This window comes from Homo sapiens, chromosome 19 (genome assembly GCF_000001405.40).
Source record: "Homo sapiens chromosome 19, GRCh38.p14 Primary Assembly".
NCBI classification, from domain to species: domain Eukaryota; kingdom Metazoa; phylum Chordata; class Mammalia; order Primates; family Hominidae; genus Homo; species Homo sapiens.
The window spans coordinates 12,772,539-12,794,347 of record NC_000019.10 but is presented as its reverse complement, the minus strand read 5'-3'; the positions used below and the strand labels follow the sequence as shown (position 1 = coordinate 12,794,347).

General features: G+C 58.5%; 2 protein-coding genes and 1 non-coding gene across 11 annotated transcripts in view, besides 29 other annotated features; 1 reads left to right on the top strand and 2 right to left on the bottom strand.

Annotated features, from left to right (window-relative positions):
* Window positions 58-263: a silencer, noted in NCBI's record as "fragment chr19:12904899-12905104 (GRCh37/hg19 assembly coordinates)". NCBI's record gives its function as "represses an EF-1alpha promoter that drives an FKBP-Casp9 reporter gene in an ReSE screen in K562 erythroleukemia cells {active_cell/tissue: K562}" and the evidence as "EXISTENCE:reporter gene assay evidence [ECO:0000049][PMID:32094911]".
* Window positions 58-1,013: a biological region, named in NCBI's record as "H3K27ac hESC enhancer GRCh37_chr19:12904163-12904664".
* Window positions 74-723: a silencer, noted in NCBI's record as "silent region_10174". NCBI's record gives its function as "represses an Ori minimal core promoter by ATAC-STARR-seq in GM12878 lymphoblastoid cells {active_cell/tissue: GM12878}" and the evidence as "EXISTENCE:reporter gene assay evidence [ECO:0000049][PMID:35858748]".
* Window positions 498-999: an enhancer, noted in NCBI's record as "H3K27ac hESC enhancer chr19:12904163-12904664 (GRCh37/hg19 assembly coordinates)". NCBI's record gives its function as "activates a minimal SCP1, AML or CMV promoter by ChIP-STARR-seq in naive H9 embryonic stem cells {active_cell/tissue: H9 hESC(naive)}" and the evidence as "EXISTENCE:reporter gene assay evidence [ECO:0000049][PMID:30033119]".
* Window positions 814-873: an enhancer, noted in NCBI's record as "active region_14081". NCBI's record gives its function as "activates an Ori minimal core promoter by ATAC-STARR-seq in GM12878 lymphoblastoid cells {active_cell/tissue: GM12878}" and the evidence as "EXISTENCE:reporter gene assay evidence [ECO:0000049][PMID:35858748]".
* Window positions 894-1,013: an enhancer, noted in NCBI's record as "active region_14080". NCBI's record gives its function as "activates an Ori minimal core promoter by ATAC-STARR-seq in GM12878 lymphoblastoid cells {active_cell/tissue: GM12878}" and the evidence as "EXISTENCE:reporter gene assay evidence [ECO:0000049][PMID:35858748]".
* On the bottom strand, window positions 1,033-2,862 carry JUNB (JunB proto-oncogene, AP-1 transcription factor subunit). Its single transcript, NM_002229.3, has one exon. The coding sequence runs from the start codon at window positions 2,574-2,576 to the stop codon at window positions 1,533-1,535; it is 1,044 nt and encodes a 347-aa protein (NP_002220.1). The 5' UTR covers window positions 2,577-2,862; the 3' UTR covers window positions 1,033-1,532.
* HOOK2 (hook microtubule tethering protein 2) overlaps window positions 1,998-21,809 on the top strand; it is a 29,348-nt gene continuing 9,536 nt past the window's right edge. For 2 of the 9 annotated variants that reach the window (NM_001100176.2, NM_013312.3), the window contains exons 1-6: window positions 18,796-18,943; window positions 19,451-19,536; window positions 19,607-19,679; window positions 21,304-21,354; window positions 21,436-21,568; window positions 21,668-21,735. In NM_001100176.2, the coding sequence (NP_001093646.1) occupies window positions 18,899-18,943; window positions 19,451-19,536; window positions 19,607-19,679; window positions 21,304-21,354; window positions 21,436-21,568; window positions 21,668-21,735 (456 nt within the window). In that variant the 5' untranslated portion in view covers window positions 18,796-18,898. Of the gene's footprint in view, window positions 2,025-15,914; window positions 16,049-18,795; window positions 18,944-19,450; window positions 19,537-19,606; window positions 19,788-21,303; window positions 21,355-21,435; window positions 21,569-21,667; window positions 21,736-21,809 lie in introns of those variants that run through there. The other 7 variants (NM_001400043.1, NM_001400044.1, NM_001400045.1 and 4 more) reach the window with 7 other exon arrangements.
* Window positions 2,064-2,173: a silencer, noted in NCBI's record as "silent region_10173". NCBI's record gives its function as "represses an Ori minimal core promoter by ATAC-STARR-seq in GM12878 lymphoblastoid cells {active_cell/tissue: GM12878}" and the evidence as "EXISTENCE:reporter gene assay evidence [ECO:0000049][PMID:35858748]".
* Window positions 2,544-3,123: a silencer, noted in NCBI's record as "silent region_10172". NCBI's record gives its function as "represses an Ori minimal core promoter by ATAC-STARR-seq in GM12878 lymphoblastoid cells {active_cell/tissue: GM12878}" and the evidence as "EXISTENCE:reporter gene assay evidence [ECO:0000049][PMID:35858748]".
* Window positions 2,544-3,499: a biological region, named in NCBI's record as "CRISPRi-FlowFISH-validated PRDX2 regulatory element 3". NCBI's record gives its function as "regulatory_interactions: PRDX2".
* Window positions 2,603-3,157: a transcriptional cis regulatory region, noted in NCBI's record as "promoter|chr19:12902005-12902559 region (GRCh37/hg19 assembly coordinates) targeted for CRISPR interference". NCBI's record gives its function as "negatively regulates PRDX2 gene expression in K562 cells {active_cell/tissue: K562}" and the evidence as "EXISTENCE:mutant phenotype evidence [ECO:0000015][PMID:31784727]".
* Window positions 2,888-3,499: an enhancer, noted in NCBI's record as "H3K27ac-H3K4me1 hESC enhancer chr19:12901663-12902274 (GRCh37/hg19 assembly coordinates)". NCBI's record gives its function as "activates a minimal SCP1, AML or CMV promoter by ChIP-STARR-seq in primed H9 embryonic stem cells {active_cell/tissue: H9 hESC(primed)}" and the evidence as "EXISTENCE:reporter gene assay evidence [ECO:0000049][PMID:30033119]".
* Window positions 3,800-4,299: an enhancer, noted in NCBI's record as "H3K27ac hESC enhancer chr19:12900863-12901362 (GRCh37/hg19 assembly coordinates)". NCBI's record gives its function as "activates a minimal SCP1, AML or CMV promoter by ChIP-STARR-seq in naive H9 embryonic stem cells {active_cell/tissue: H9 hESC(naive)}" and the evidence as "EXISTENCE:reporter gene assay evidence [ECO:0000049][PMID:30033119]".
* Window positions 3,800-4,753: a biological region, named in NCBI's record as "CRISPRi-FlowFISH-validated JUNB regulatory element". NCBI's record gives its function as "regulatory_interactions: JUNB".
* Window positions 3,984-4,753: a silencer, noted in NCBI's record as "silent region_10171". NCBI's record gives its function as "represses an Ori minimal core promoter by ATAC-STARR-seq in GM12878 lymphoblastoid cells {active_cell/tissue: GM12878}" and the evidence as "EXISTENCE:reporter gene assay evidence [ECO:0000049][PMID:35858748]".
* Window positions 3,997-4,517: a transcriptional cis regulatory region, noted in NCBI's record as "intergenic|chr19:12900645-12901165 region (GRCh37/hg19 assembly coordinates) targeted for CRISPR interference". NCBI's record gives its function as "positively regulates JUNB gene expression in K562 cells {active_cell/tissue: K562}" and the evidence as "EXISTENCE:mutant phenotype evidence [ECO:0000015][PMID:31784727]".
* Window positions 5,204-5,773: an enhancer, noted in NCBI's record as "active region_14079". NCBI's record gives its function as "activates an Ori minimal core promoter by ATAC-STARR-seq in GM12878 lymphoblastoid cells {active_cell/tissue: GM12878}" and the evidence as "EXISTENCE:reporter gene assay evidence [ECO:0000049][PMID:35858748]".
* Window positions 7,156-7,220, bottom strand: MIR5684 (microRNA 5684). Its single transcript, NR_049864.1, has one exon. It is a non-coding gene; the product is annotated as a microRNA 5684 (primary transcript).
* Window positions 9,078-9,197: an enhancer, noted in NCBI's record as "active region_14078". NCBI's record gives its function as "activates an Ori minimal core promoter by ATAC-STARR-seq in GM12878 lymphoblastoid cells {active_cell/tissue: GM12878}" and the evidence as "EXISTENCE:reporter gene assay evidence [ECO:0000049][PMID:35858748]".
* Window positions 9,377-9,897: a transcriptional cis regulatory region, noted in NCBI's record as "intergenic|chr19:12895265-12895785 region (GRCh37/hg19 assembly coordinates) targeted for CRISPR interference". NCBI's record gives its function as "positively regulates JUNB and PRDX2 gene expression in K562 cells {active_cell/tissue: K562}" and the evidence as "EXISTENCE:mutant phenotype evidence [ECO:0000015][PMID:31784727]".
* Window positions 11,177-12,057: a transcriptional cis regulatory region, noted in NCBI's record as "intergenic|chr19:12893105-12893985 region (GRCh37/hg19 assembly coordinates) targeted for CRISPR interference". NCBI's record gives its function as "positively regulates JUNB and PRDX2 gene expression in K562 cells {active_cell/tissue: K562}" and the evidence as "EXISTENCE:mutant phenotype evidence [ECO:0000015][PMID:31784727]".
* Window positions 11,448-11,957: a silencer, noted in NCBI's record as "silent region_10170". NCBI's record gives its function as "represses an Ori minimal core promoter by ATAC-STARR-seq in GM12878 lymphoblastoid cells {active_cell/tissue: GM12878}" and the evidence as "EXISTENCE:reporter gene assay evidence [ECO:0000049][PMID:35858748]".
* Window positions 11,988-12,037: a silencer, noted in NCBI's record as "silent region_10169". NCBI's record gives its function as "represses an Ori minimal core promoter by ATAC-STARR-seq in GM12878 lymphoblastoid cells {active_cell/tissue: GM12878}" and the evidence as "EXISTENCE:reporter gene assay evidence [ECO:0000049][PMID:35858748]".
* Window positions 14,617-15,217: a transcriptional cis regulatory region, noted in NCBI's record as "intergenic|chr19:12889945-12890545 region (GRCh37/hg19 assembly coordinates) targeted for CRISPR interference". NCBI's record gives its function as "positively regulates PRDX2 gene expression in K562 cells {active_cell/tissue: K562}" and the evidence as "EXISTENCE:mutant phenotype evidence [ECO:0000015][PMID:31784727]".
* Window positions 15,412-15,461: an enhancer, noted in NCBI's record as "active region_14077". NCBI's record gives its function as "activates an Ori minimal core promoter by ATAC-STARR-seq in GM12878 lymphoblastoid cells {active_cell/tissue: GM12878}" and the evidence as "EXISTENCE:reporter gene assay evidence [ECO:0000049][PMID:35858748]".
* Window positions 16,317-16,837: a transcriptional cis regulatory region, noted in NCBI's record as "intergenic|chr19:12888325-12888845 region (GRCh37/hg19 assembly coordinates) targeted for CRISPR interference". NCBI's record gives its function as "positively regulates PRDX2 gene expression in K562 cells {active_cell/tissue: K562}" and the evidence as "EXISTENCE:mutant phenotype evidence [ECO:0000015][PMID:31784727]".
* Window positions 18,337-18,978: a transcriptional cis regulatory region, noted in NCBI's record as "promoter|chr19:12886184-12886825 region (GRCh37/hg19 assembly coordinates) targeted for CRISPR interference". NCBI's record gives its function as "positively regulates DNASE2 and PRDX2 gene expression in K562 cells {active_cell/tissue: K562}" and the evidence as "EXISTENCE:mutant phenotype evidence [ECO:0000015][PMID:31784727]".
* Window positions 18,337-19,193: a biological region, named in NCBI's record as "CRISPRi-FlowFISH-validated DNASE2 and PRDX2 regulatory element". NCBI's record gives its function as "regulatory_interactions: DNASE2 | PRDX2".
* Window positions 18,515-19,193: an enhancer, noted in NCBI's record as "H3K27ac-H3K4me1 hESC enhancer chr19:12885969-12886647 (GRCh37/hg19 assembly coordinates)". NCBI's record gives its function as "activates a minimal SCP1, AML or CMV promoter by ChIP-STARR-seq in naive H9 embryonic stem cells {active_cell/tissue: H9 hESC(naive)}" and the evidence as "EXISTENCE:reporter gene assay evidence [ECO:0000049][PMID:30033119]".
* Window positions 18,733-18,952: a silencer, noted in NCBI's record as "silent region_10168". NCBI's record gives its function as "represses an Ori minimal core promoter by ATAC-STARR-seq in GM12878 lymphoblastoid cells {active_cell/tissue: GM12878}" and the evidence as "EXISTENCE:reporter gene assay evidence [ECO:0000049][PMID:35858748]".
* Window positions 19,194-19,874: an enhancer, noted in NCBI's record as "H3K27ac-H3K4me1 hESC enhancer chr19:12885288-12885968 (GRCh37/hg19 assembly coordinates)". NCBI's record gives its function as "activates a minimal SCP1, AML or CMV promoter by ChIP-STARR-seq in naive H9 embryonic stem cells {active_cell/tissue: H9 hESC(naive)}" and the evidence as "EXISTENCE:reporter gene assay evidence [ECO:0000049][PMID:30033119]".

Genomic DNA, 21,809 nt, shown 5'->3' with positions numbered 1-21,809 from the left:
TCTGGAGTGGTCCAGGCTGTGTCTCCAGGGTCTAGTTGTTCTAGGTATTGTACAAATGAATTGATGAAGTGTCTGTTCCACTCACCCTACTGCCTGTCTGGTTTCTCTACCTGTTTTTCTCCACTGCTCTGGGGGCTTCCAACCCCGAAGCCGGCCAGACTCCCTCTAGGCGGGCCAGCAGCACCAGCACCCCCACCCCCACCTCCACGTGTCCCAGCTGCGCGGGAGGGAGCCCAGCGCGAGGGCGGTGGCGGCGCCCAGCGGCCCGAGCAGCCGCCCCGGCAGGACCAGACCTGGCAGTCGCCCCGCTCCTGGCCTGGCACCCGTGAGGGGAAACTGGCAGGCGGGCGCCGCCCTTCCTGGAGGGGGTGGGGGTAGAGGGGACGGCGTCGGCAAAGCAGCGGAGGCAGCAGCAACCCTCCGCCCCGGTCAGGTCAGACGGAGGGGGCGTGGGCGCGGCGGGGCCTAGGCGCCAGTGTCTTGAAGGTGGCACAGGGGTGGCTCCCGGAGCCCAGGAGCGCTGCCCGCCCACCGCGGGCGCTCTGGACCCAGGCCTGGGGCTTTCCGTGCCCGGGCAGCCGCCTGCCCGGGAAAATCCCGGCCCCCTTCCCGGCGCCGCGGCCCTGCCCGGCAGAGCGGGGGAGGGGATTCCCGGAATCTGCCCAGAGACCGCGGTCGCGTCACTGGGCAGAATCGGTCCTTGTATGGGCAGCGCTTCCGCTGCGTCAGCGGGGAAAGCCCCGGCGCGCGCGGCTGGGCGGGGACGCGCCTGCGCACTCCAAGTCTCGGCCGGAGCACCCTGCCTTCAGCTCCTGGGTCCCTGGACCGCGTCCCGCGCCCCAACCATCCAACCCTGGAGATCTGGGGACGCGGGAAGGGTGGGACTCCTGGGCTGGGACCACAAGATGCCTGCGCCGAACCGACGAGGGGGACACATACAGGACCGAGCCACCAACAGCACTGAGCTGGGGGCAAACCAGTGCTTTTTTTTTTCCCCCCGCCCTCCCAGCTTGGAAAAAAAGACAACAGAAATTAATAAAGAACCAATTTTTTTTTTACTTAAATAGATTCAATAAAAAGAACAAACACACACAAACACAAACACGTCTTAAAATAAACTCTTTAGAGACTAAGTGCGTGTTTCTTTTCCACAGTACGGTGCAGAGAGGGGAGGGCAGGGGGCGGGGGTCCCCTTCCCAATGTCCCCGCGGGCTTGAGTACCAGGCGGCGGGGCCAGCTCCGCCGCGATCGCCCCCTCTTCCCCTCCCTGTTAAATACACAAATATATTATATTCAATATGAATCGAGTCTGTTTCCAGCAGAAAAAAAACATACAAAAAAAAGTGGAAGGGGGGGCTTGTAAACGTCGAGGTGGAAGGACTGGGCGCAGGGTAGGAGGGCCGGAGTCCAGTGTGGTTTGCGGCGCCCCTAGGTCCCAGGGTGGGTGCCCACCGCCTGCTCCCTGGACCCCAGTGGGAGGCGTGTGCCCAGCCGTCCAAGCGAGGGGGTGTCCGTAAAGGGGCAGGGGACGTTCAGAAGGCGTGTCCCTTGACCCCAAGCAGCAGCTGACAGCCGTTGCTGACGTGGGTCATGACCTTCTGTTTGAGCTGGGCCACCTGCTCCCGGAGGAGGCCGGCGGTACTCGACAGCCCCGCGTTCTCGGCCTTGAGCGTCTTCACCTTGTCCTCCAGGCGCGCGATGCGCTCCAGCTTCCGCTTCCGGCACTTGGTGGCCGCCAGCCGGTTCCGCAGCCGCTTGCGCTCCACTTTGATGCGCTCTTGGTCTTCCATGTTGATGGGGGACACCGGCGGCGTGGCGTCCCGGCTGCGCGCCTCCGGCACGGTCTGCGGTTCCTCCTTGAAGGTGGAGGCGCCGCGGCCCAAGCCCAGCTGCGCCGGGTGGCCACCGGCGAAGGGCGGCGCGTGTGGGAGGTAGCTGATGGTGGTCGTCGGGTACGAGCTCCCGGTCCCGACGGCAGCCCCGGCGCCTCCCGAGGACGCAGAGGCTGGGGAGTAGCTGCTGAGGTTGGTGTAAACGGGAGGTGGCTCCGGGCCGGCGTAGACGCCCCCGGGCCCAGCCGGGGGCCCCCCGGTAGCGCCCAGGGACACGTTGGGGGGTGTCACGTGGTTCATCTTGTGCAGATCGTCCAGGGCTTTGACAAAGCCGTCGGCGAAGCCCTCCTGCTCCTCGGTGACGCCGCCCCCTGCGCCCCCTGCACCTCCACCGCTGCCACCCCCGCGGGGGTAAAAGTACTGTCCCGGGGGTGTAGGCGTCGTCGTGATCACGCCGTTGCTGTTGGGGACAATCAGGCGTTCCAGCTCCGAAGAGGCGAGCTTGAGAGACGCGCCGGTGTCCGAGCCCTGACCAGAAAAGTAGCTGCCGCCACCGCCGCCCTCTGGGCCGGGTCCGCGAGCCCCAGGCGCTTTGAGACTCCGGTAGGGGTCGGCCAGGTTGACCGCCAGGCTCGGTTTCAGGAGTTTGTAGTCGTGTAGAGAGAGGCCACCAGGGGCCCGGCCGTATCCCGTAGCTGTGTATGAGTCGTCGTGGTAGAAGGGCTGTTCCATTTTAGTGCACATCCGGGCGGCCCAGGCGGTCTGGGGAGGGTCCCTGCGGGGCCGCTCCGGGCCTCGCTGCAGCGAGCGGCGAGCTCTCCGCTGCGGTGACCGGACTGGGTGCCTGGTCGCGCGTTCTCGGGGGCTGGCGCGGGCGGGTAGCAGCCAGCCGGCAGCTGTGCGCAAAAGCCCTGTCAGGCTTCCCGAGCCCCCGTCGCCCTCTCTGGCGCGATAGCTTTCCTGGCGTCGTTTCCCCCAGCTCCCAGCTCCCTGCTGGCTCCGAGGCTGGCCTGGCCGCTCTCAAGGTCCCAGCCGCTCAGCCTGAGCCACACGCCTTTATACCGCGCTAGTCAGCCACGGAAGTGCGCTCCGATTGGCCGTCGCCGGAGCCGGGCCCCCGCGCCCCCCTCCTCGAGCGTGGGGAAGGGGAGGAGGCGGCTCGCGTCACTGTCAGGAAGCGCGTGTCCTTGTAAACAGCGGCCACGGGCCGGGTGGCTCGGCGGGGCTGCAGGGGGAGGGGCTCAAAGGACCTCGGGGTACGCATGGAAGGAGGTGCTGGGGGGCCCAGGCACATGAGTGAGGGGTTTCAGGGAGGAGGATGATTTCCCTGGAGTCCACTGGGACAAATACCAGGACCTGGTACGCAGCAAGTGGGGTGAGGGTCCCAGTATGTGCGAAGAAACCCCTGAGGTACCCAGAATACGAGAGGGGTAGGAGGACTGACAATCCATTGGGAGACCCCAAAAAGCAGAAATGAGGGTTAAGCACTGTAAATCGGGAGGGTTAAGGAGACACCTGACCCAGGAATTGACTGGGGGTCCCGGGCTCAGAAGGATGCGGGACTGGAATTTTCACAGGACGGAGGAGGGGAGAGATCAAAAGGGGTGAGTGGGTGGAGCTGCATGACCCATTAAATTGCAAGAAATGAGTAGGGGTCCAGGAGCTCATGGGAGCTGAGTCCAGAGTCTGAGGCTCTCCCGTAAGCGGGAAGGAGGCATTAGGGGAAGTCTAGATATGCAGAAAGCTAGTAAGCGGCCTGGGGTACACTGAGGCAGGTAAAATATGCCAGGTAGAAGATGGAGACATGTCTGCCAGAAATTGGGGACCACTGGGGTCATCTGCTAGCCCGGATGAAGGAGAGAGTTAGAAGGGGCCGGACACATCTTCGGAGCAGAGAAGACAATAAGAGGGTACTCAGTTGACATGTGAGGAGGGGGCCTTGAGGGTCCCGCGCACCAGGACTGCTGGATCTTCCACGACTGCTGCTCCCCCTCGATGGTAACCTCTTAGTCATCTGTATTCTCTGTCCCCCATCCTAAAACCCTCCCCTATTGACCCTGGGCTTTGCCCAACACCGTGTCGGCTCCTAGAGCCTGGACCCAGCCCGACGGCTGGGGCGCGGTCGCCCAACCCCACTCCCTTCCTTAGAAACAGGCTGGGGAAAGAGCGCAGAGGCAGGAAGTGTGGCAACAGCCCCGGGGGAAGGAGCCCGGCCCTGTCTCCGTCACTCGGATCCTACGGGACCGTGCGCCCCGCCCTGGGTCCCGCCGCATCCTGCGCCTCGGAAGAGGAACCTGGGCGTGCGAGCCCCCGCGGAGGCCCGGGTGCTTGGAGCCCGCCCAGCCGCGGCAGCCTCCAGCCACCATCCTCTCCCCTCAAGCAATGGTTCCGCCCGCGGTGCCTGCAGGGGACCGCGGAGGCAGGCGGCTTGGGGAGTGTTCCATTGGCCCGACGGCGGGGGACGCAGCCGAGGAGCGGGGCCTGGTCGCCATGGCAACAGGCGGGAGTCCGCGGGCAGGACTGAGCGCGGGCCGGCCCCCGAAGTCTCTCCCCGCCGCCCATATTAGGGCACAGGAAGAGGTGGGACCAGCGCTGTCCTGGGGCCCCGAGCCAGAAGCGGGGAACCCGACTATCTGCCAGGTCCCAGGGCGCGCCTGGGCCCCCAGACTGCTAGTCCCGACCAGCCCCGACCGCCGCCCCCGGGGCCCCCACGGCCGCCTGGCCCGGCCCCGCCCCACCCCGCCGCTTTGGGGCTGCGTCCTGCCAGGCCCGGCCTGGCCCAACCCAGCCCGGCAGGTCCCCGCCTGCCCGCGGGCCTGGGTCGGACTTCGCCCCCGGCCCGACGGGGCGCGGAGAGGGCGGGCCGATGCCTCGAGGCGCCCCCGGCGCCTGGGCGGGCTGGAACGGCGGCTGCCTCCTCCCTCGGGTGGGGTGCCCTTCCCTTCTGCCAGGAGATCTGGAGCTCCGTCCCCAACACCCCCCACTCACTCATGTGAGTCAGGGGCCCCACTCTCGTTTTAGTCTGCAGGTCCCATCCTACTATCATCCAGAATACCTAGAGGGAGCCCCCCTCCTTCCCTAGAGTAGCTCTGTCATCTGAGAGCTTCCCTCCCCGAGTCAGAGAAGACCTGAAAATCTAAGGGGAGAATATGAGGGAACCCAGAGCCCCTTCCCGGGAAGGGCTGCGGCGAGGTGCAGACGGTCAGGCTTCCAGTTAGACTTAAGGTGGGACTTCCGAGCAGTTAGTGTGTGAACCCACTAGACCAAGAGGTGAGAAGCCTAGTGTCTCTGTCTCTGTCTCTGTCTCTCTCTCTCTCTCTTTGTCTCTCTCTCTCTCTCTCAGCTTCCCAGGCCTCTGTCTTCTGGAGGATGAAGAGAGCCTCTCTCTTCTTTAGGGTAGAAAGAGGCTAAGGGATAGGGGTTAAACAGCCATTCCGGGGCAGCCTAGATCTCACCAAGTGTGGGAAAGAGAAGGAAAACGAAAGAGGCGAAAAAGAAACTGAGCTATGTGGGGGCAGGGGGAAGTCCAGCAGTGCAGTGGCCTTGCTGGAGGAAGGTCCCAGCAGAAGCTGGGGGCGTCCCGTCCTTGGAGGGTCCCTGTGACCCCTAAATGCCCCCTCCCTTCTTCCCCTTGCTTGAATGGCTCCCCTCCCCCTCCCCAGGCTCAAGGGAGATTCCGGAGGCCTGTGAGTCTGGCAGGCACACTGCCAGGCCTGTGTCTCCCGCCCAGGCTAATAACTGCAGCTGACATCTGGCTGGGCCCCGCGGGGGCGCAGCGGGCAGCGTTGGGGGGTTGGGCAGGGCAGGGCAGGCCAGAGGGCAGCACCTTGGGAAGCTAACTTGCAGGTCCCAAAAGCCAGGAGGCCACAGTAATTCAGCCCTGGCCAGGGCTGAGGCTGGCCATGCCAGAGGGAGTCCTAGAGAGAGGTGAGGCCATCCCAGACAGAGTCCATCCCAGGAGGAGGGCAAGGAACAGTGGGTGTATGGGGGCAGGGGCGCAGGGCAGGGAGAGATGCCCAGAGAGACAAATGGGTTCAAGGTTAGTGTCACGCAGACAGTGAGACTCAGAAACACTTAAGATAGATAGGCTGAGAAATAATAATTATTATTTTAATAGCCAACACTTACATGGCTCTTACTGTGGGCTAGGCACTCTTCTAAGTGGTTAACATAAAATAAGTCATCGACTGCTTCCAACAATCCAGCAAAATGCATGTTATTTGTATCCCCATGTAACAGATGAGAAACTGAGCCACAGGAGATTAAGGAACTTGTCTGGTGTCCAACAGCTAGAAGCACTAGAGTTGAGATATAATCCAAGCTGTCTGGCTTCAGAGCATTAGCCACTGTGTTGTGAATAATGACAACCAGAGAAGCATGTATGCAGTACCAGCTGCAGGCCGTCTCATGAAGGGCCTCTTTTTTTGGTGTTTTGTTTGTTTGTTTGTTTGTTTGTTTTTTGAGATGGAGTCTTGCTCTGTCGCCCAGGCTGGAGTGCAATGGCATGATGTTGGCTCACTGCAACCTCCGCCTCCTGGGTTCAAGCGATTCTCCTGCCTCAGCCTCCTGAGTAGCTGGGATTACAGGCGCATGCCACCATGCCCAGCTAATTTTTGTATTTTTAGTACAGACGGGGTTTCACCATATTGGTCAGGCTGGTCTCGAACTCCTGACCTTGTGATCAGCCCGCCTGAGTCTCCCAAAGTACTGAGATTACAGGCGTGGGCCACCATGCCCGGCCCTTTTTTTGTTTTTTTAAAGAGAACCTCACTTTGGCCAAACACAGTGGCTCACGTCTATAATCTCAGCACTTTGGGAGGCCGAGGGGGAGGATCACTTGAGCCCAGGAGTTTTTTTTTATTGTTTGTTTTGTTTTGTTTTTTTGAGACAAAATATCACTCTGTCGCCCAGGGTGGAGTGCAGTGGCACAATATCAGCTCACTACAACCTCCACCTCCCAGGTTCAAGCTATTCTTCTGCCTCAGCCTCCCGAATAGTTGGGATTACAGGCGCATGCCACCACGCCAGGCTAATTTTTTGTATTTTTAGTAGAGATGGGGTTTCACCATGTTGGCCAAGCCGGTCTCGAACTCCTGACCTGAAGTTATCTGCCCGCCTCAGCCTCCCAAAGTGCTGGGATTACAGGCATGATCTACCTCGCCCAGCCCTAGCCCAGAAATTTTTGAGACCAGCCTGGGGAACACAGCAAGACCCCCATCTCTACAAAAAAATTTAAAAATTAGCTGAGGTCAGGAGGGTGTGCCTGTAGTTCCAGCTACTCCGAAGGCTGAGGCAGGAGGATCACATGAGCCATGATCTTGACACTGGACTCCAGCCTGGGCAACAAAACAAGACCATCTCACTCTGTTGCTCAGGCTAGAGTTCAGCTACACAATCATAGCTCGCTGCAGCCCTGAACTCCTGGGTAAAAGCGATCCTCCTGCCTCAGCCTCCAGAGTAACTGGGACTACAAGCACACCACAACTGCTAAGTTTTATTTTTTTATATTTTATTGAGACAGGGTCTCATTCTGTTGCCTAGGCTGGTCTGGAAGTCCTGGCCCTAAGGGATCCTCCCACCTGGGCCTCCCAAAGTGCTGGGATTACAGGTGTGAGCCACCGCACCCCACTGAGGGTCTCCTTTAATTGGGGGAGAAATGTGGTGGGGCACAGACAGAGGGGCACGGGTCTCTGTGGACAGGCCAGCATGTGGGAGTAGGGTTCCTCCAAACACTCTGCATGGGTGTTTGAGCACGGGGTGGAGATTGGGCCAGACAGGGAGGGCGGGGGCCCAGCCAAGCTGGTACAGCCGGTTCCAGGCCTCTGCCAGTGTCACCCTTGTGGCCTGGGCACCACCCCCTCAAGCCGCCCCACTGGCGCCAGGCCGGCCCCACGAGGAGGGTGGGAGAACAGCCCCCTCCCCCAACTGGCCTGAGCGTCCAGACTGGCAGCTGGGTACTGCCCAGGCCCTGGGCTCCAGACCAGCACCTGGCTAAGAAGTCCCTGCGCAGGCTTCCCCAGTGCCCCAGGGCCTGGGGCCTAGGGCACAGGATAAGGAGGAAGTTCACCCACCCCCACCCACAAGTGTCTTCGGGGCTTTTGGTCTTGGCACGAGGGACTTCTCCTTCTTATAAATAGCCCGGTGACCCCCCTCCCTGCTGGCCCCACTGACCAGTGGGGCCCTCACTAGGAAACTGGGCTGGGGGCTGCCTGTGAGTCAGCCAGTGGGCAGGCCAGGGCGAGAACCCACAAATCGCAGCACACAGCACCCAGCCTCCCTCCCGTGTCCCTGCCCCTGGGTGTGGATCTGAGGCCCGGCAGGAGCCCTCCCCCAGGAACTCCTGGCCTACCAGCCGCCTCCCTCTCCCACCTCTGTGGTTTGGGGGTCCTTTGCCCCCTCTCCTGGAGAGGAAGCTGCTAGGTTTTCTTGGAAGCAGGAAGGAGAGTCTCTCTCTTTCTCTCTCTCCAGGCTGACATGGTTGGGCATGAGGGGAGTTTCTCAGGAAGCTGCTTCCATCCCTGCCACTGCTGGTGAAGCCTTGGGGGACCTGGGCATCACCAAGACCCTGGGTGACCTCTTTATAGCAGGCCCCCACCCCAGCAGGAGCAGAGGCTGCTGAGCTAGGCCTCCTAGGGGAAGTGGCAAAAGCAAAGAGGGAGGGAAGTGGGGGTGATGTTTGGAGAGAGGAAGTGCCAGGATCTCTGTGGGGCAGAGACAGACTGGGGTGTCCAGTGCCCCCACAGAACCTTGGCAAGGTCCAGGGGGCAAGCGTGTGACTGGCCTATAGGGTGCATGTGAGAGTGTGTGCTGGTCCAACCCTGACACCCAGGCCTGAGAGACAGGAGTAGCCCTCTGCCCGCTTCTGTGCCCAGCCCTGGATGCAAAGGTCTATGTAGGGCTTATCTGTGTAGAGTTCTGTTCCACTCTGTGTGTGTGTGAGCTCTATAGGATGGGTTGCACATGGTCTAGATGTATGTACGTGTAGGTTGTTTCAAAGTTCCTATGGCTAACTTGTGTCGGTGTGTATGTGTGTTTGTGTGTGTGGTCTGTGGCTGGTCTGTATGTGTGTATATGATCTGTTTGTGTGTGTGTAAAAGAGGTCTGTGGCTGGTCTGTGTGTATACGATCTGTAATGTGCATTTGTGTGTGTGTGAAAAAGAGGTCTGTGGCTGGTCTGTATGTATGTGTGTATACGATCTGGTGTGTGTGTGTGTGTGTGAAAAAGAGGTCTGTGGCTGGTTTGTGTTTGGTGTGTGTGTGTGGTCTCTGTGTGTGAGGTCTGTGGCTTGTTTCCATGTGTGTGTTCTGTGGCTGATCTGTATGTTGCCTGTTACTGATCTCCGTTTGTATGTGTGCATGTGTGTGTGTGCAAACAGGTTTTGTCATGGTCTTTCTGTGCCGATGTGTTTATGAATGTCCCACTGTGGCCTGTCTGTGCCTCTCTGCACTGGGTGTGACTGTCTGGCCAGACCATGTCTGTGAATGTGTCAGTCTGCCCAGATCTACCCAATCTGTTGCCAGGTCCCACATGTGTGTGTTCCTGGTGAGATGGTGTGTACCTCTAAGGCTTCGGCTTGGTGTCCCTGGGAGCATCTCTGATGTGTGTGCAACAGTGGTGGGCCAGGGTGCCAGGGACTCTCTGCCATACTGTGAACACATCATCTCTGTCCCTAGGTTTGTCTCTCTTGTCTTGTCTCTATCTTCTGAGTTGGAGATCTGGGGTGTGTGTGTGTTGCCTTCTCTTGCGTGTCAGGATCTGATAGTGCATGCCTGTGTCTGCATATCTCTCGTGTGGCTCTCGGGGTGCTGGTGCTGAAAGTGACTGTCTCTCCTATCAGCATGCACATGTTGCCTGCTTGTCTCACATATAGTTCACTCTGTGTCTGTCTTGCCCCTATGTTTCTAGCCTATTGTGTTTGTCTCCATGTGTGTCACACGCCATTGTGTCTGCCTTGCTGTGTGCCTCTCACCTGAATGTCAGTCTCTGTGTGTTTGTGTCTATCATGCTTATGTGCTGGGTTGATTTATCCCCGCCGCACACGGCCTGCCTGCGTATTTTTGACCAGTGGATGCGTTCATGTGTTTGACGGTGTGTGTCTCTTGCTTGAGGGTCTGGTCTGTCACTGTGTCCATGTGTGACAGTCATTGCTGGATCATCTTACCCAGCTGTATGTCTGACCCTGTCTGTGTGTCCCTGGCTGGCAGTCTCTCTGTGGCCAAGGTGACAGGGGTTTGTGTGTCTGGACTGGCTCTCTCGGGGTGACTGTGTGTACATTCCTACAGCCCCCCGCCCGCCCCCTGTCTGGTCACCCTGGGCCATGTTTACTCTGCCCCCAGTCAATGTCTGCCCTGCCCCGGGAGGGGCTGACCCTCCTCCGTCTGTCCAGCCAGCAGTCCACAGGATGTTCCCGAGACACAGTCTCCATCCGACGTCCCCTCCCTCGGGCCACCCGCGGGTCAGGACCCAGGCGTCCAGGGCGGCGGGGGTGGGGCTGCAGCGTGGGGGGGCCCTCTCAGGGCACTGGAATGAGGGTGGGGGGCGGGGAGGTGACGGGCCCAACAGGTTGTGCCTCATTCCTGCCCCGCCTCTCACTTCCTGGGTGCCTGCCTCGGGCAGGGGGTGGACAAGATGAACCCCATGGCCTTAGAGTGTCTGGGTGGGGCATGGCCTGCCCGGCAAGGACTCGCTTCTGCTGGGCACCCTGACACCCAGGCCTGAGAAACAGGAGGAGCCCTCTTCTGGCTCCCGTGCTCAACCCTGGATGCAGAGTTTCCCATCTATTATTCACCTAATCCCCACAACAACCCAACAAGCTGGACATAATGATCCCTCATTTTCAGATGGGGAAACTGAGGTCCAGGCAGCAATGAGGGCAGAGACAGGATTTGAACCCAGCTCTATATGCTACCCAAGACCCCCAGCCAGCTCACCAAGCGCCATCCTCCCCTCTCTAAAAATGGTACATGTGGGGTGGAGTATGCACCCAGGCCCCCAGGAGGCCAGGCTCGAGGGGGGCGCCGGCTTGCTCTGAGTCAAAATGGGCCCCTGGATGAAATGAATAAGAAAACGGCTTTAACCGTTTCATCGCCGCGACGGGCTCTGCCAAAACTTCCTGTGGGCTGGGAGGAGGGGTTGGGGGCTGGGTTCCCGGAGGTTTGCAGGGGTGGGGGTGGGGGGTCTACCAATTCAGAGGCGGAGTTGGGGGGGGCGCCTCTGGCTTGCTAAGGGGAGTCGCTGGCCCTCGGATGCTCGCTGGTGGGGGAGGCCTTCCCCGCGGAGAGCGAAGTCCCCAGAACTTGGTTCTCGGCCCCACTGTCTGTAGGGGTCCCAGACTCCGCAGCCCCCTCCCCAGGGGCCTGAGTCACACGCGGGGAAAGCCGGGAGGGGTGAGTCACGGGGGCGGAGAAGCGGGAGCGAGGCCAGCTGCGGCCAGGGGACCCCCGGGCTGGCCTGAGTCACGCACGCCCGGGCGACGCTGACCCCAGCCCCCTTCTCCCGGGATCACGAGCGGGAAGCGCATTGTCAGTAGACTAGGCAGCTGGAGGAAAAGCAGGATGGCTGGGCGGGGAAAGGAAACACGCGCCTGGCTACGCGGGAAGCTCTGGTTCCCATGGCAACTGGGGGGGGGGTCTCAGCTCCATGGGAAAGGTCCCTCCCCCAACAGGGACTGCCCTCCCGTCAGGCGCTGGGGAAGCCCCCGGGCGCTCGGTCGAGGGGCCACAAGTTTCGGATCGGGCAGGAAGGGGTTAACGGAGGCCCCCTCCCGGGTTTCACCGGCGCCCCAAGGTCCCGGCCGGGGCGGGGCTGGTCCTGCCCTGCGCGCCTCCGCTCGCCCAGCCCCCGCCACCGCCCACGCACGCGCGCACGCAGCCAGTGCAGAGCTCCCGCCCTTCCACCCCCCGCGCTTGCACGCACGACCGCGTCGGGTTCCACGCACGCAGCGACCCCCGTCGTGTCTCACGTCACGCACGACGCACGCGCCCCCGCAACGCGGGGAGGGCGCCTCCCGGAGGGGAACGGCGGGGCGGGAGGCCCTCTGCGCACATCACTGCGTCCGCGCAGCCTGCTGTCCTCTGTGACTTTGACTCCCACTTCCCGCCCCCTACACACAAAGTCACAAACAAACTCCCCGACCCACAGTGTCACACGGACGCAGGATACACCTGCCACATCTTGGCACCAACCCATTCTAGTCCAGCCAGCCTCGCAGCGAACACGGACACACGTGGATGGAGACGCAGACAATCACACAGGCACGTCAGTCACATAGCGTTTGTGATAGGGACGCAAACAGAGCCATATTCATACATAGGTAGGTGGCAGATACATCCTGATAAAGCAACCCCATCCAGCAAAATAGGACGGGCGCAGTGGCTCAGGCCTGTAATCTCAGAATTTTGAGAGGCCAAGGCCAGAGGATCGCTTGAGGCCAGTAGTTCAAGACCAGCCTGGGCAACATAGCAAGACCCCTGTCTCTACAAAAATATTTTTTCTTAATGAGCTGGGCATGGTGGTGCATGCCTATAGTCGTGTCTATAGTCCCAGGTATGTGGGGGTTGAGGCGAGAGGATCACTTGAGGCCAGGAATTCAAGGCTGCACTGAGCAGCGATTGTGCCACTGCACTCCAGCCTGGGCGACACAGGAGACCCCGTCTCAAAAGAAAAAAAAAAAACAGGAACAGGGAGGGACACAGTTTTGCACACCAGGGCTTGTTTTGTCACACAGCCACACTTCTTCCATGGTGATTGTGGTGGCACAGAGATACATACAGACACATAAGATAGTCATGCCATCGCATGACCCCTGTTACCACAAATAGGGGGCACGAAATGGGATACAGTCACAGAGACAAGACCACGTACAGGGACACTCAAAACGTCAAGTGGACGGCCGGGCGCGATGGCTTACGCCTGTAATCCCAGCACTTTGGGAGGCCAAGGCGGGCGGATCAGGAGGTCTGGAGATCGAGACCATCCTGGCTAACACACTGAAACCCCGTCTCTACTAAAAATACAAAAAATTAGCCAGGCGTAGTGGCGGGCGCCTGTGGTCCCAGCTACTGGGGAGGCTGAGGCAGGAGAATGGCGTGAACCCGGGAGGCGGAGCTTGCAGTGAGCTGAGATGGCGCCACTGCATTCCAGACTGGGCGACAGAGCGAGACTCTGTCTCTTTTTCTTTTTCGTTATTTATTTTTTTTATATTTTATTTTTTTAGACGGAGTCTTGCTCTGTCGCCCAGGCTGGAGTGCAGTGGCATGATCTTGGCTCACTGCAAGCTCTGCCTCCCGGGTTCACGCCATTCTCCTGCCTCAGCCTCCCGAGTAGCTGGGACCACAGGCGCCCGCCACCATGCCCGGCTAATTTTTTTGTAGTTTTAGTAGAGACGGGGTTTCACCGTGTTAGCCAGGATGGTCTCGATCTCCTGAACTCCTGATCCGCCCACCTCGGCCTCCCAAAGTGCTGGGATTACCTGCGTGAGCCACCGCGCCCAGCCTTCTTTTTCTTTATTTTTATATTTATTATTATTATTATTTTTTGAGACGGAGTCTCGCTCTGTCACCCAGGCTGGAGTGCAGTGGAGCCATCTCCGCTCACTGCAAGCTCCGCCTCCCGGGTTCACGCCATTCTCCTGCCTCAGCCTCCCCAGTAGCTGGGACTACAGGCGCCCGCCACTACGCCCGGCTAATTTTTTGTATTTTTGGTAGAGACGGGGTTTCACTGTGTTAGCCAGGATGGTCTCGATCTCCTGACCTCCTGATCCGCCCACCTCGGCCTTCCAAAGTGCTGGGATTACAGGCGTGAGCCACCGTGCCCGGCCGAGACTCTGTCTCAAAAAAAAAAAAAAAAAAAAAAAAAAAAAGGCCGGGCGCGGTGGTTCACGCCTGTAATCCAGCACTTTGGGAGGCCGAGGTGGGCGGATCATGAGGTCAGGAGATCGAGACCATCCTGGCTAACACGGTGAAACCTCGTCTCTACTAAAAATACAAAAAATTAGCCACACCTGGTGGCGGGCGCCTGTAGTCCCAGCTACTTGGGAGGCTGAGGCAGGAGAATGGTGTGAACCCGGGAGGCGGAGCTTGCAGTGAACCGAGATCGCTCCACTGCACTCCAGCCTGGGTGACAGAGTGAGACTCCGTCTCAAAAAAAGAAAAAGAAAAAAAGAATGACACAGATATAGACCCAAAGTGAGGTCCCATATAGACGTATATAGTAGACACAGACACACAACACATGAAGATGCAATTGGAGTGAGAGAGCCCCACCCAAACTCTGCCTGGACCATACAGAGATACACAGGGGCACACACTAGAGGTTCCCTAGTCACCCTAAAATCTGGATGGGTTTTTTTGGTTGTTGTTGTTTTTGAGATGGAGTCTTGCTTTGTTACCTAGGCTAGAGTGTAATGGCGCGTTCTCGGCTCACTGCAATCTCTGCCTCCCAGGTTCAAGCAATTCTCTTGCCTCAACCTCCTGAGTAGCTGGGATTACAGGCGCTCACCACCACGCCTGGCTGATTATTGTATTATTAGTAGAGACAGGGTTTCACTATGTTGGCCAGGCTGGTCTTGAACCCCTGACCTCAAGTGATCTGTCTGCCTTGACCTCCCAAAGTGCTGGGATTACTGGCGCGAGCCACCAAGCCCGGCCCCAACCTGGATGTTACGGACAAGGATGTTACCGACAAGGATGTTACAAATTTCCCCTCCCCCAGTCCCCGAAACCAGCCCTCCCCCCCATCAAATCAGGCACAGCCTGTTGCACAAACTCGAAGGCCTTATGACACAATGGATGCAGGACACATGCCCGTGTACACACAGTCACAGATCCTCCATCTCACACCTACAAAGACCAGCACATTTGGCCAGGCGCCGTGGCTCACGCCTGAAATCCCAGCACTTTAGGAGGCAGAGGCAGGAGGATTACTTGAAGTCAGGAGGTCGAGACCATCCTGGGCAACATAGCAAAACCCTTTCTCTCAAAAACACAAAAAAACCTAGCACATTTCACATGGACTCAGACACACACAGACACAGGGAGGGGGGACTGGCTAGGAGTTCCTGGCAGGATGTCAATATCTGGGCTGTAGGGGGCCTGCCAGAGTCCTCCATGGTGATGATGCATGGAGTCCACCCAGTGGCTGTGGTCAGCCAGGGGAGTGGCAGAGGGGCACTGTTCTCCAGTTGTGGGACTGAGGGTCCCCTTCTCAGCCCTGATGAAGACTGGATCCCTGCCCAGATGTGAACGCTGGAGGGGGCAGGCCGGGGTCCAGCTGTGGCCACAGGGAGGGGTTGAGTCAGCCGCTTCCCAGCAGTACAACCTAGGCTGGGCCCAGCTGTTCCTGGAAACCAGTAGAGGGGGTGGGCTCCCCAATCCAGCTGGGGGCTGCTGGCCCAGACCTGCACACCAGGGCTCTGTGTCCCTACAAATGGCGGCCTTCAGACCATCCCCCAAAACGTTGGGGGCTCTCTTTACCTAAAACAGGGGTTTGGATCCTTCTTCCAAAATGTGGAGGGTTTTTCAGCCCCTCTTGCTGAATTAAAGGTGCCTGGATCTCCGCACAGCGGGGCTCCCTGTGTTTCAAAACAGAGATTGCTGCTGTCTTCCCCGCCGACATAGAAGCTCACTGCTTTTCCCCAAATGTGGGACTCCCTGCCGCCGCAAAATGGAGGGTTATGCTCCTCCCCCAAATTGAGCACACCCAGATTTTCCTTAAGTCTGGGGACTCCTGGCTCCCCGAACATCTGGGACGCCCACAACATCACGCCAACATTAGCACAATTTAAGTCAATTTGCCTAAATATTTGGATTTCCAGATTTCCCCTAAACATCAAAATCCCTGCGACCCCCGCCCTAATGTGGTGATCTCAGCATGTCCAGCCACCCATGCTTGTAACAGCTGTGGTTCCTGGCTCACCTCCCATTGCTACCTGGGAACGGGGTGGCCCTGTTTCCCTGTATTGGCAGCACCCTCTCCTCTGGTGAATGCGAGGTCGGGGAGCCAACGGCAGCTGTTCCCACGACCGCCGGAAGACAGCCCAGTCCGGAAGCCAGCGCTGCCGGCCCTTGTCCCCTTCCCCCACTATCCTCTCCACCCGCTCCCAGGGGCTGGAGTCTGGAAAACCACGCGGGAGGAGGTTGTGGGGATATGGACGAGCATCCGAGGCCCCCGGGTGCGTACGGCTGCGCATGAGTGGGCTGTAATCGGGTGTCTGGGGGTGAGTGACTGCGTTCGTGCGATGCGCGCGGGGAGCAGCTGTCACTTTGCCCACCCTGCTCCGGGGCAAGGTCTCTGGCGCCAGGATCTTCTGGGTGGGTGGGAGCAGCGCCCCTCCCCTCCGATCTGGGCCCGCCCCCAATGCAGAGCCCGCCCCTCCCTCTGGGTACAGCTAATAACCTCTAATTAGTGCACATTACCCCGCCCGTCTACCGGGGAGGGGTTGCAGAGGGACCCTGGGGTCACAGGGCGCGAGCCTGGGCTTCACCCTTCCCCTCAAAACCCGGTCCACTCGGAACCTCTGTTTTCTCGCCGGCAAAGCAGGGAATTAAAACAGCACTTGCCATCTGGAGACATGGGGAGGATTCAATAGTCTATGTATTTAAATCGCTTAGCGCAAGGACTGCATACAGTAAGCACTCCATACATGGTGACTGCAATTTATTGTTAACTATAATTCCCATCACTTTCCATTGACCCCCGCTCCACCGCCCCAGCCGGGGTTTCAGGGCGGGCGCACAGTCTTCCCCCTAGGCCGCGTTCTGCGGTCTCCGCGCCCCCTGGTGGGCCCGGGCGACGCGGCAGCTTCAGCCAAATCCTGGGTTCTGAGGTGGGGGTGATGCCGGGCGCGCATCTGGGGAGGGCAAGGCGCGGGGGGAATATCGTGGAAGACGGATCCAGGCTGGGCAAGGGTGCCTATCCATCAGCCAGGACATGTGTGTCTAACTGACCTCTTCTCGACCTAGGACCATACCCGTGTCCCCTTATCTACTGCTGGAGTCAATAATGCAGGGAGGATCCATTCATTTATTTATTTCTTGAAACAGGGTCTCCCCCCTGACGTCCAGGCTGGAGTGCAGTGGCGCGACCACGGCTCACTGCAGCGTTGACCTCCCGGACTCAAGCGATCCTCCCACCTCAGCCTCTGGAGTAGCTGGGAATAGGCGCGTGCCACCACGCCCAGCTACTTTTATTTTTTATTTTATTTTTGTAGAGACGGAGTCTCGCTGTGTTGCCAGGGCTGTTCTCGAACTCCTGGGTTCAAGCAGTCCTCCCTCCTCGACCTCCCAAAGTGCTGGGATTACAGATGTGAACCATCGCGCCAGGCATTTTATTTTATTTTATTTTATTTTATTTATTTTTTTTGAGACAGTCTCACTCTGTCGCCCAGGCTGGAGTGCAGTGGCGCGATCTCGGCTCACTGCAACCTCCGCCTCTTGGGTTCAAGCTATTCTCCTGCCTCAACCTCCCGAGTAGCTGGGACTACAGGCGCGTGCCACCATGCCCGGCTAATTTTTTGTATTTTTAGTAGAGAAGGGGTTTCACCGTGTTAGCCAGGATGGTCTCGATCTCCTGACCTCGTGATCCGCCTGCCTAGGCCTCCCAAAGTGCTGGGATACAGACGTGAGCCGCCGCGCCCGGCCCTATTTTTAAATTTTTACTGTTTTTTTTTGAGACAGAGTCTTGCTCTGTCACCCAGACTGGAGTGTAGTGGCCCTATCACGGCTCACTGCAGTCTCGACCTCCTGGGCTCAAGCTATCCTCCCACCTCAGCCTCTGTAGAGCTAGGAGCTAGGACCACAGAAACACGCCAACATGTCTGGCTAATTTTTTTTTTTTTTTTTTTGAGGAGTCTTGCACTGTTGCCCCCTGGAGTGCAGTGGTACGATCTCGGCTGACTGCAACCTCCGCCTCCAGGGTTCAAGCGATTCTCCTGCCTCAGCCTCCCGAGTAGCTGAAATCAGGCGTGCGCCACCACGCCCAGCTAATTTTTAGTATTTTTAGTAGAGACGGGGTTTCACCATGTTGGCCAGGCTGGTCTCGAACACCTGACCTCGTGATCCGCCCGCCTCGGCCTCCCAAAGTGCTGGGATTACAGGCGTGAGCCACCGCTACCTGGGTAATTTTTAAATTTTTTGAAGAGAGGCTGGTCTCCAACTTCTATCCAAATTAATTCTCCCTCCTAGGCCTCCCAAAATACTGGGATTACAGTCGAGAGCCACCGCGTCCGGCGGGAAAACCCCTTTAGCATCCCCTCTCCCAGTCCATAGAAAGTGCCAGGGCTCGCCCCTCCCCGCACAACGGCTCCGATTATAAAGTGGTTAGACACAAGAATTTACTTAAGGCCGGGCGCGGTGGCTCACGCCTGTAATCCCAGCACTTTGGGAGGCCGAGGCGGGCGGATCACGAGGTCAGGAGATCGAGACCATCCTGGCTAACACGGTGAAACCCCGTCTCTACTAAAAATACAAAAAATTAGCCGGGCGAGGTGGCGGGCGCCTGTAGTCCCAGCTACTCGGGAGGCTGAGGCAGGAGAATGGCGTGAACCCCAGGGGGCGGAGCCTGCAGTGAGCCGAGATTGCGCCACTGCACTCCAGCCTGGGCGACAGCGAGACTCCGTCTCAAAAAAAAAAAAAAAAAAAAAAAGAATTTACTTAAGTTGCAGGGAAAAGACGTGAATGCGCTTGTGTAACAGGGTGGAGCACCTCCGTCTCAAAAGGATCTTGAGGACCTCCCACCCCAAAAAGGGCCAGGGCGAGGATGGGAGGTGGGACCACCCTCGGATGCACAAGGCTGGGCCAGGCTGACCCCTAGCGGCAGGGCGGGCGCCCGAACGGTGCCCGGATCCAAGATGGCGGGGCTGGAGGCAAGAGCGGGCGTAGGGAGGAGATTACGTTCCGAGGCGGAGCCTGGGCTTGGGGGCGGGGCGGGGCCTGCGCCTAGGGGGGCGGGGCGGGGCGGCGCTCTAGGCCGAGCGGGAGGTCGGGGCTGCGGGCGCTCGCTGGTGGCGGACCCGGAGGCTGCTGCGGCGCCGGGGCTCCGTGGCCTGGATTGAATCCGATCGGGAGCCATGAGCGTGGACAAAGCTGAGCTATGCGGGTCTCTGCTCACCTGGGTAGGTCGTGGGGCGGGGCTAGGGGAAGGTGAGCGCCCGCTCCTCTTGCCCGGGATCCCTGGCCCTGGTTCGGTCAGTCTCTTGGTGCTGGGGCTGGGAGGTGCGGGGTCGTCGACTTGCTGGACCGTTGGACTCTGGCCCGAGCACCCGCCCCCGTCACGTGGCAAGTCTGCGTGGAAAGGACAGGTGAGGCCCCGCCCCTCTGTGGTTGGTTCACGTGGGGCGAGGACACAGGTGAATTGGCCTGGTCACGTGGTGCCTGTGGGGCCCAGGTGACTCGCGATACCACCCTGGCCTGGACGCGCAGGGTTTGTTGGGCAGAGGTGAGGTGAGGCCACGCCCCCTCCGGTCTCAGGTGAGCAGAAGCCAGTCCCTCGCAGAGCTGCTGTGGCGGAGCAGCGCCCGCCCCACCATGTGAGGTTCGCTGACTGGAAAAGTCTGCAAAAGGGGAGCGGTTCGGCGCTCCCAGGCCCTAACTCTTTCCTTGTCCTTTCCTTTACCCCTCAGTTACAGACGTTCCACGTTCCGTCTCCCTGTGCCAGCCCTCAGGACCTGAGCAGCGGCCTTGCCGTAGCCTATGTGCTGAACCAGATGTGAGTGGAGCTGAAGGGGAGGATCCCAAAAGTGTCCCCCAGTCTGCTCATCCCACCTTCTCGCCCCCAGAGACCCCTCCTGGTTCAACGAGGCATGGCTCCAGGGCATCTCGGAAGATCCAGGTCCCAACTGGAAGCTGAAGGTGACAAGTGGACTCCTGATTAGAGGACAGACTGGTGAAGAGATGACCAGGGACGGGCCAGCTAGGCACATGTCCTGGGTGATGGGCAGGAAGAGGGACAGATGTCTGGTGATCAACCATTTGTTCATCCATTCATCTATGGAGTACTCACCCTGTGCCAGGCCTGGGCATTCAGCAAGGAATAACACAGACAAAAACCTGCCCCACACAGCCATCATTCTAGTGACAAGCAACACATACACAACCATAAAAATTAACTTCCAGGCTGGGCGCAGTGGCTCATGCCTGTAATCCCAACACTTTGAGAGGCTAAAGTGGGTGGATCACCTGGGGCCAGGAGTTCAAGACCAGCCTGGCCAACAAGTTGAAACCCCATCTCTACTAAAAATACAAAAATTAGCTGGGTGGGGTGGTGTGCACCTGTAATCCCAGTTACTTGGGAGGCTGAGACATGAGAATCACTTGAACCTGGGAGGTGGAGGATGCAGTGAGCTGAGATTGAGCCATTGCACTCCAGCCTGGGCAACAGAGCGAGACTCTTGTCTCAAGAAGAAGAAAAAAAGAAAAAGAAAAAGAAAAAGAAAAAACTTTTGATGCCAGTAGTTCTGTGAAGACAACAAAAAAGCAGGGCTTTGAGAGAGAGCAATGAGGGCATAGGTGGCTGATTACATCAGATGGGTTAATCTCCAAGTGAAATTTGGGGGAACGGTGTTCCAGGCATAGGGAATAGCAGATGTAAAGGCCGTGATTTGGGAATAAACTTGGTGTGATGGAGGAATGGCAGAGAGGGCAGAACAGAGCAAGAGGGCAAGATTTGTAGGAGATGAGGTCATCAGGGGCCTGGCAGGCCATGGTGGGGGTGTGGATTCTATTTTTAAGTGCTGTGGAAAGTCAAGGCAGGGTTTTAGCAGAGCAAAGATGCAACCTGGCTTGGGCTTTATAAAGCTCCCCCTGGCTGCATGGAGAGAAATAAAATGTAGGCAGCAAAAGTGGAAGAGGAGAGGCAGCTGGTGCACTAATCCAGGTGAGAGGTAAAGATGGATGGGTAGGGCTGAAGGATGGTGGGGCAGGTGGTGAGAAGTGACTTGGTTCTGGAGACATATGAAGGAAGATGGTCAGGCAGGCCGGGCACAGTGGCTCATGCCTGTAATCCCAGCAATTTTAGAGGCTGAGGTGGGAGGATTGCTTGAGCTCAGGAGCTTGAGACCAGCCTGGGCTACATAGCAAAACCTCCTCTCTACAAATAAAAAAAAGTAGTCGATTGTGGTGGCATATGCCTGTAGTCCCAGCTACTGGGAGGCAGAGATAGGAGGATTGCTTGACCCCAGGAGGTCGAGGCTGCAGTGAGCCAAGATTGCACCACTGCACTCCAGCCTGGGTGACAGAGCCAGACCCTGTCTTAAAAAGCTAAAGCAAAAAAAAAAAAAAAAAAAAAAAGAAACAAAGATGGTCAGGCAGACAAAAGGGGCAGACAGCCAGACAGGTCACCCCTAGAGGAAGGCGCACGCAGACAGAATAGGATGAGATGAGCAGGGAAGGAGAAGTGAGGTGGAGAGAGGATGGGACCTACAGATTCAGAGTGGGAGGCCTCTGAACTTGTCCACAGTTCCTTGTTCCTCCCTAGGTCAGCAATCTGAAGATGGTCTTACGGAGCCTAGTAGAGTACTCCCAGGATGTGAGTAACTGTAAAGGGATTCAGGGGGTTGAGTTGGGAGAAGGGTGGGCCCATGAGCCCCTGACACCCCCTTCTCCCCAGGTCCTGGCGCATCCTGTGTCAGAAGAGCATCTCCCAGATGTGAGCCTCATTGGAGAGTTCTCAGACCCGGCAGAGCTCGGCAAGCTGCTTCAGCTGGTGCTGGGCTGTGCCATCAGTTGCGAGAAAAAGCAGGGTATGGGGAGCTTAGGGGGTCCCCAGGGCTGGCCTGAGGAAATCCTCCTTCCTCCCCACCTCACCCCTGGGTCTCAGCCTCCCCCACCTTGATCCCCAGACCACATCCAGAGAATCATGACGCTGGAAGAATCGGTTCAGCATGTGGTGATGGAAGCCATCCAAGAGGTGGGTGGGGGCACTCAGTGTGCAATTGGAAAATGTCAGGAGAGGGGACATCTCTAGGGCAGAGAGAACTGGGC

Bases quoted from the DNA above. Each gene is read 5' to 3' on its own strand.
- JUNB (NM_002229.3), bottom strand. From the start codon at position 2,576: ATGTGCACTAAAATGGAACAGCCCTTCTACCACGACGACTCATACACA.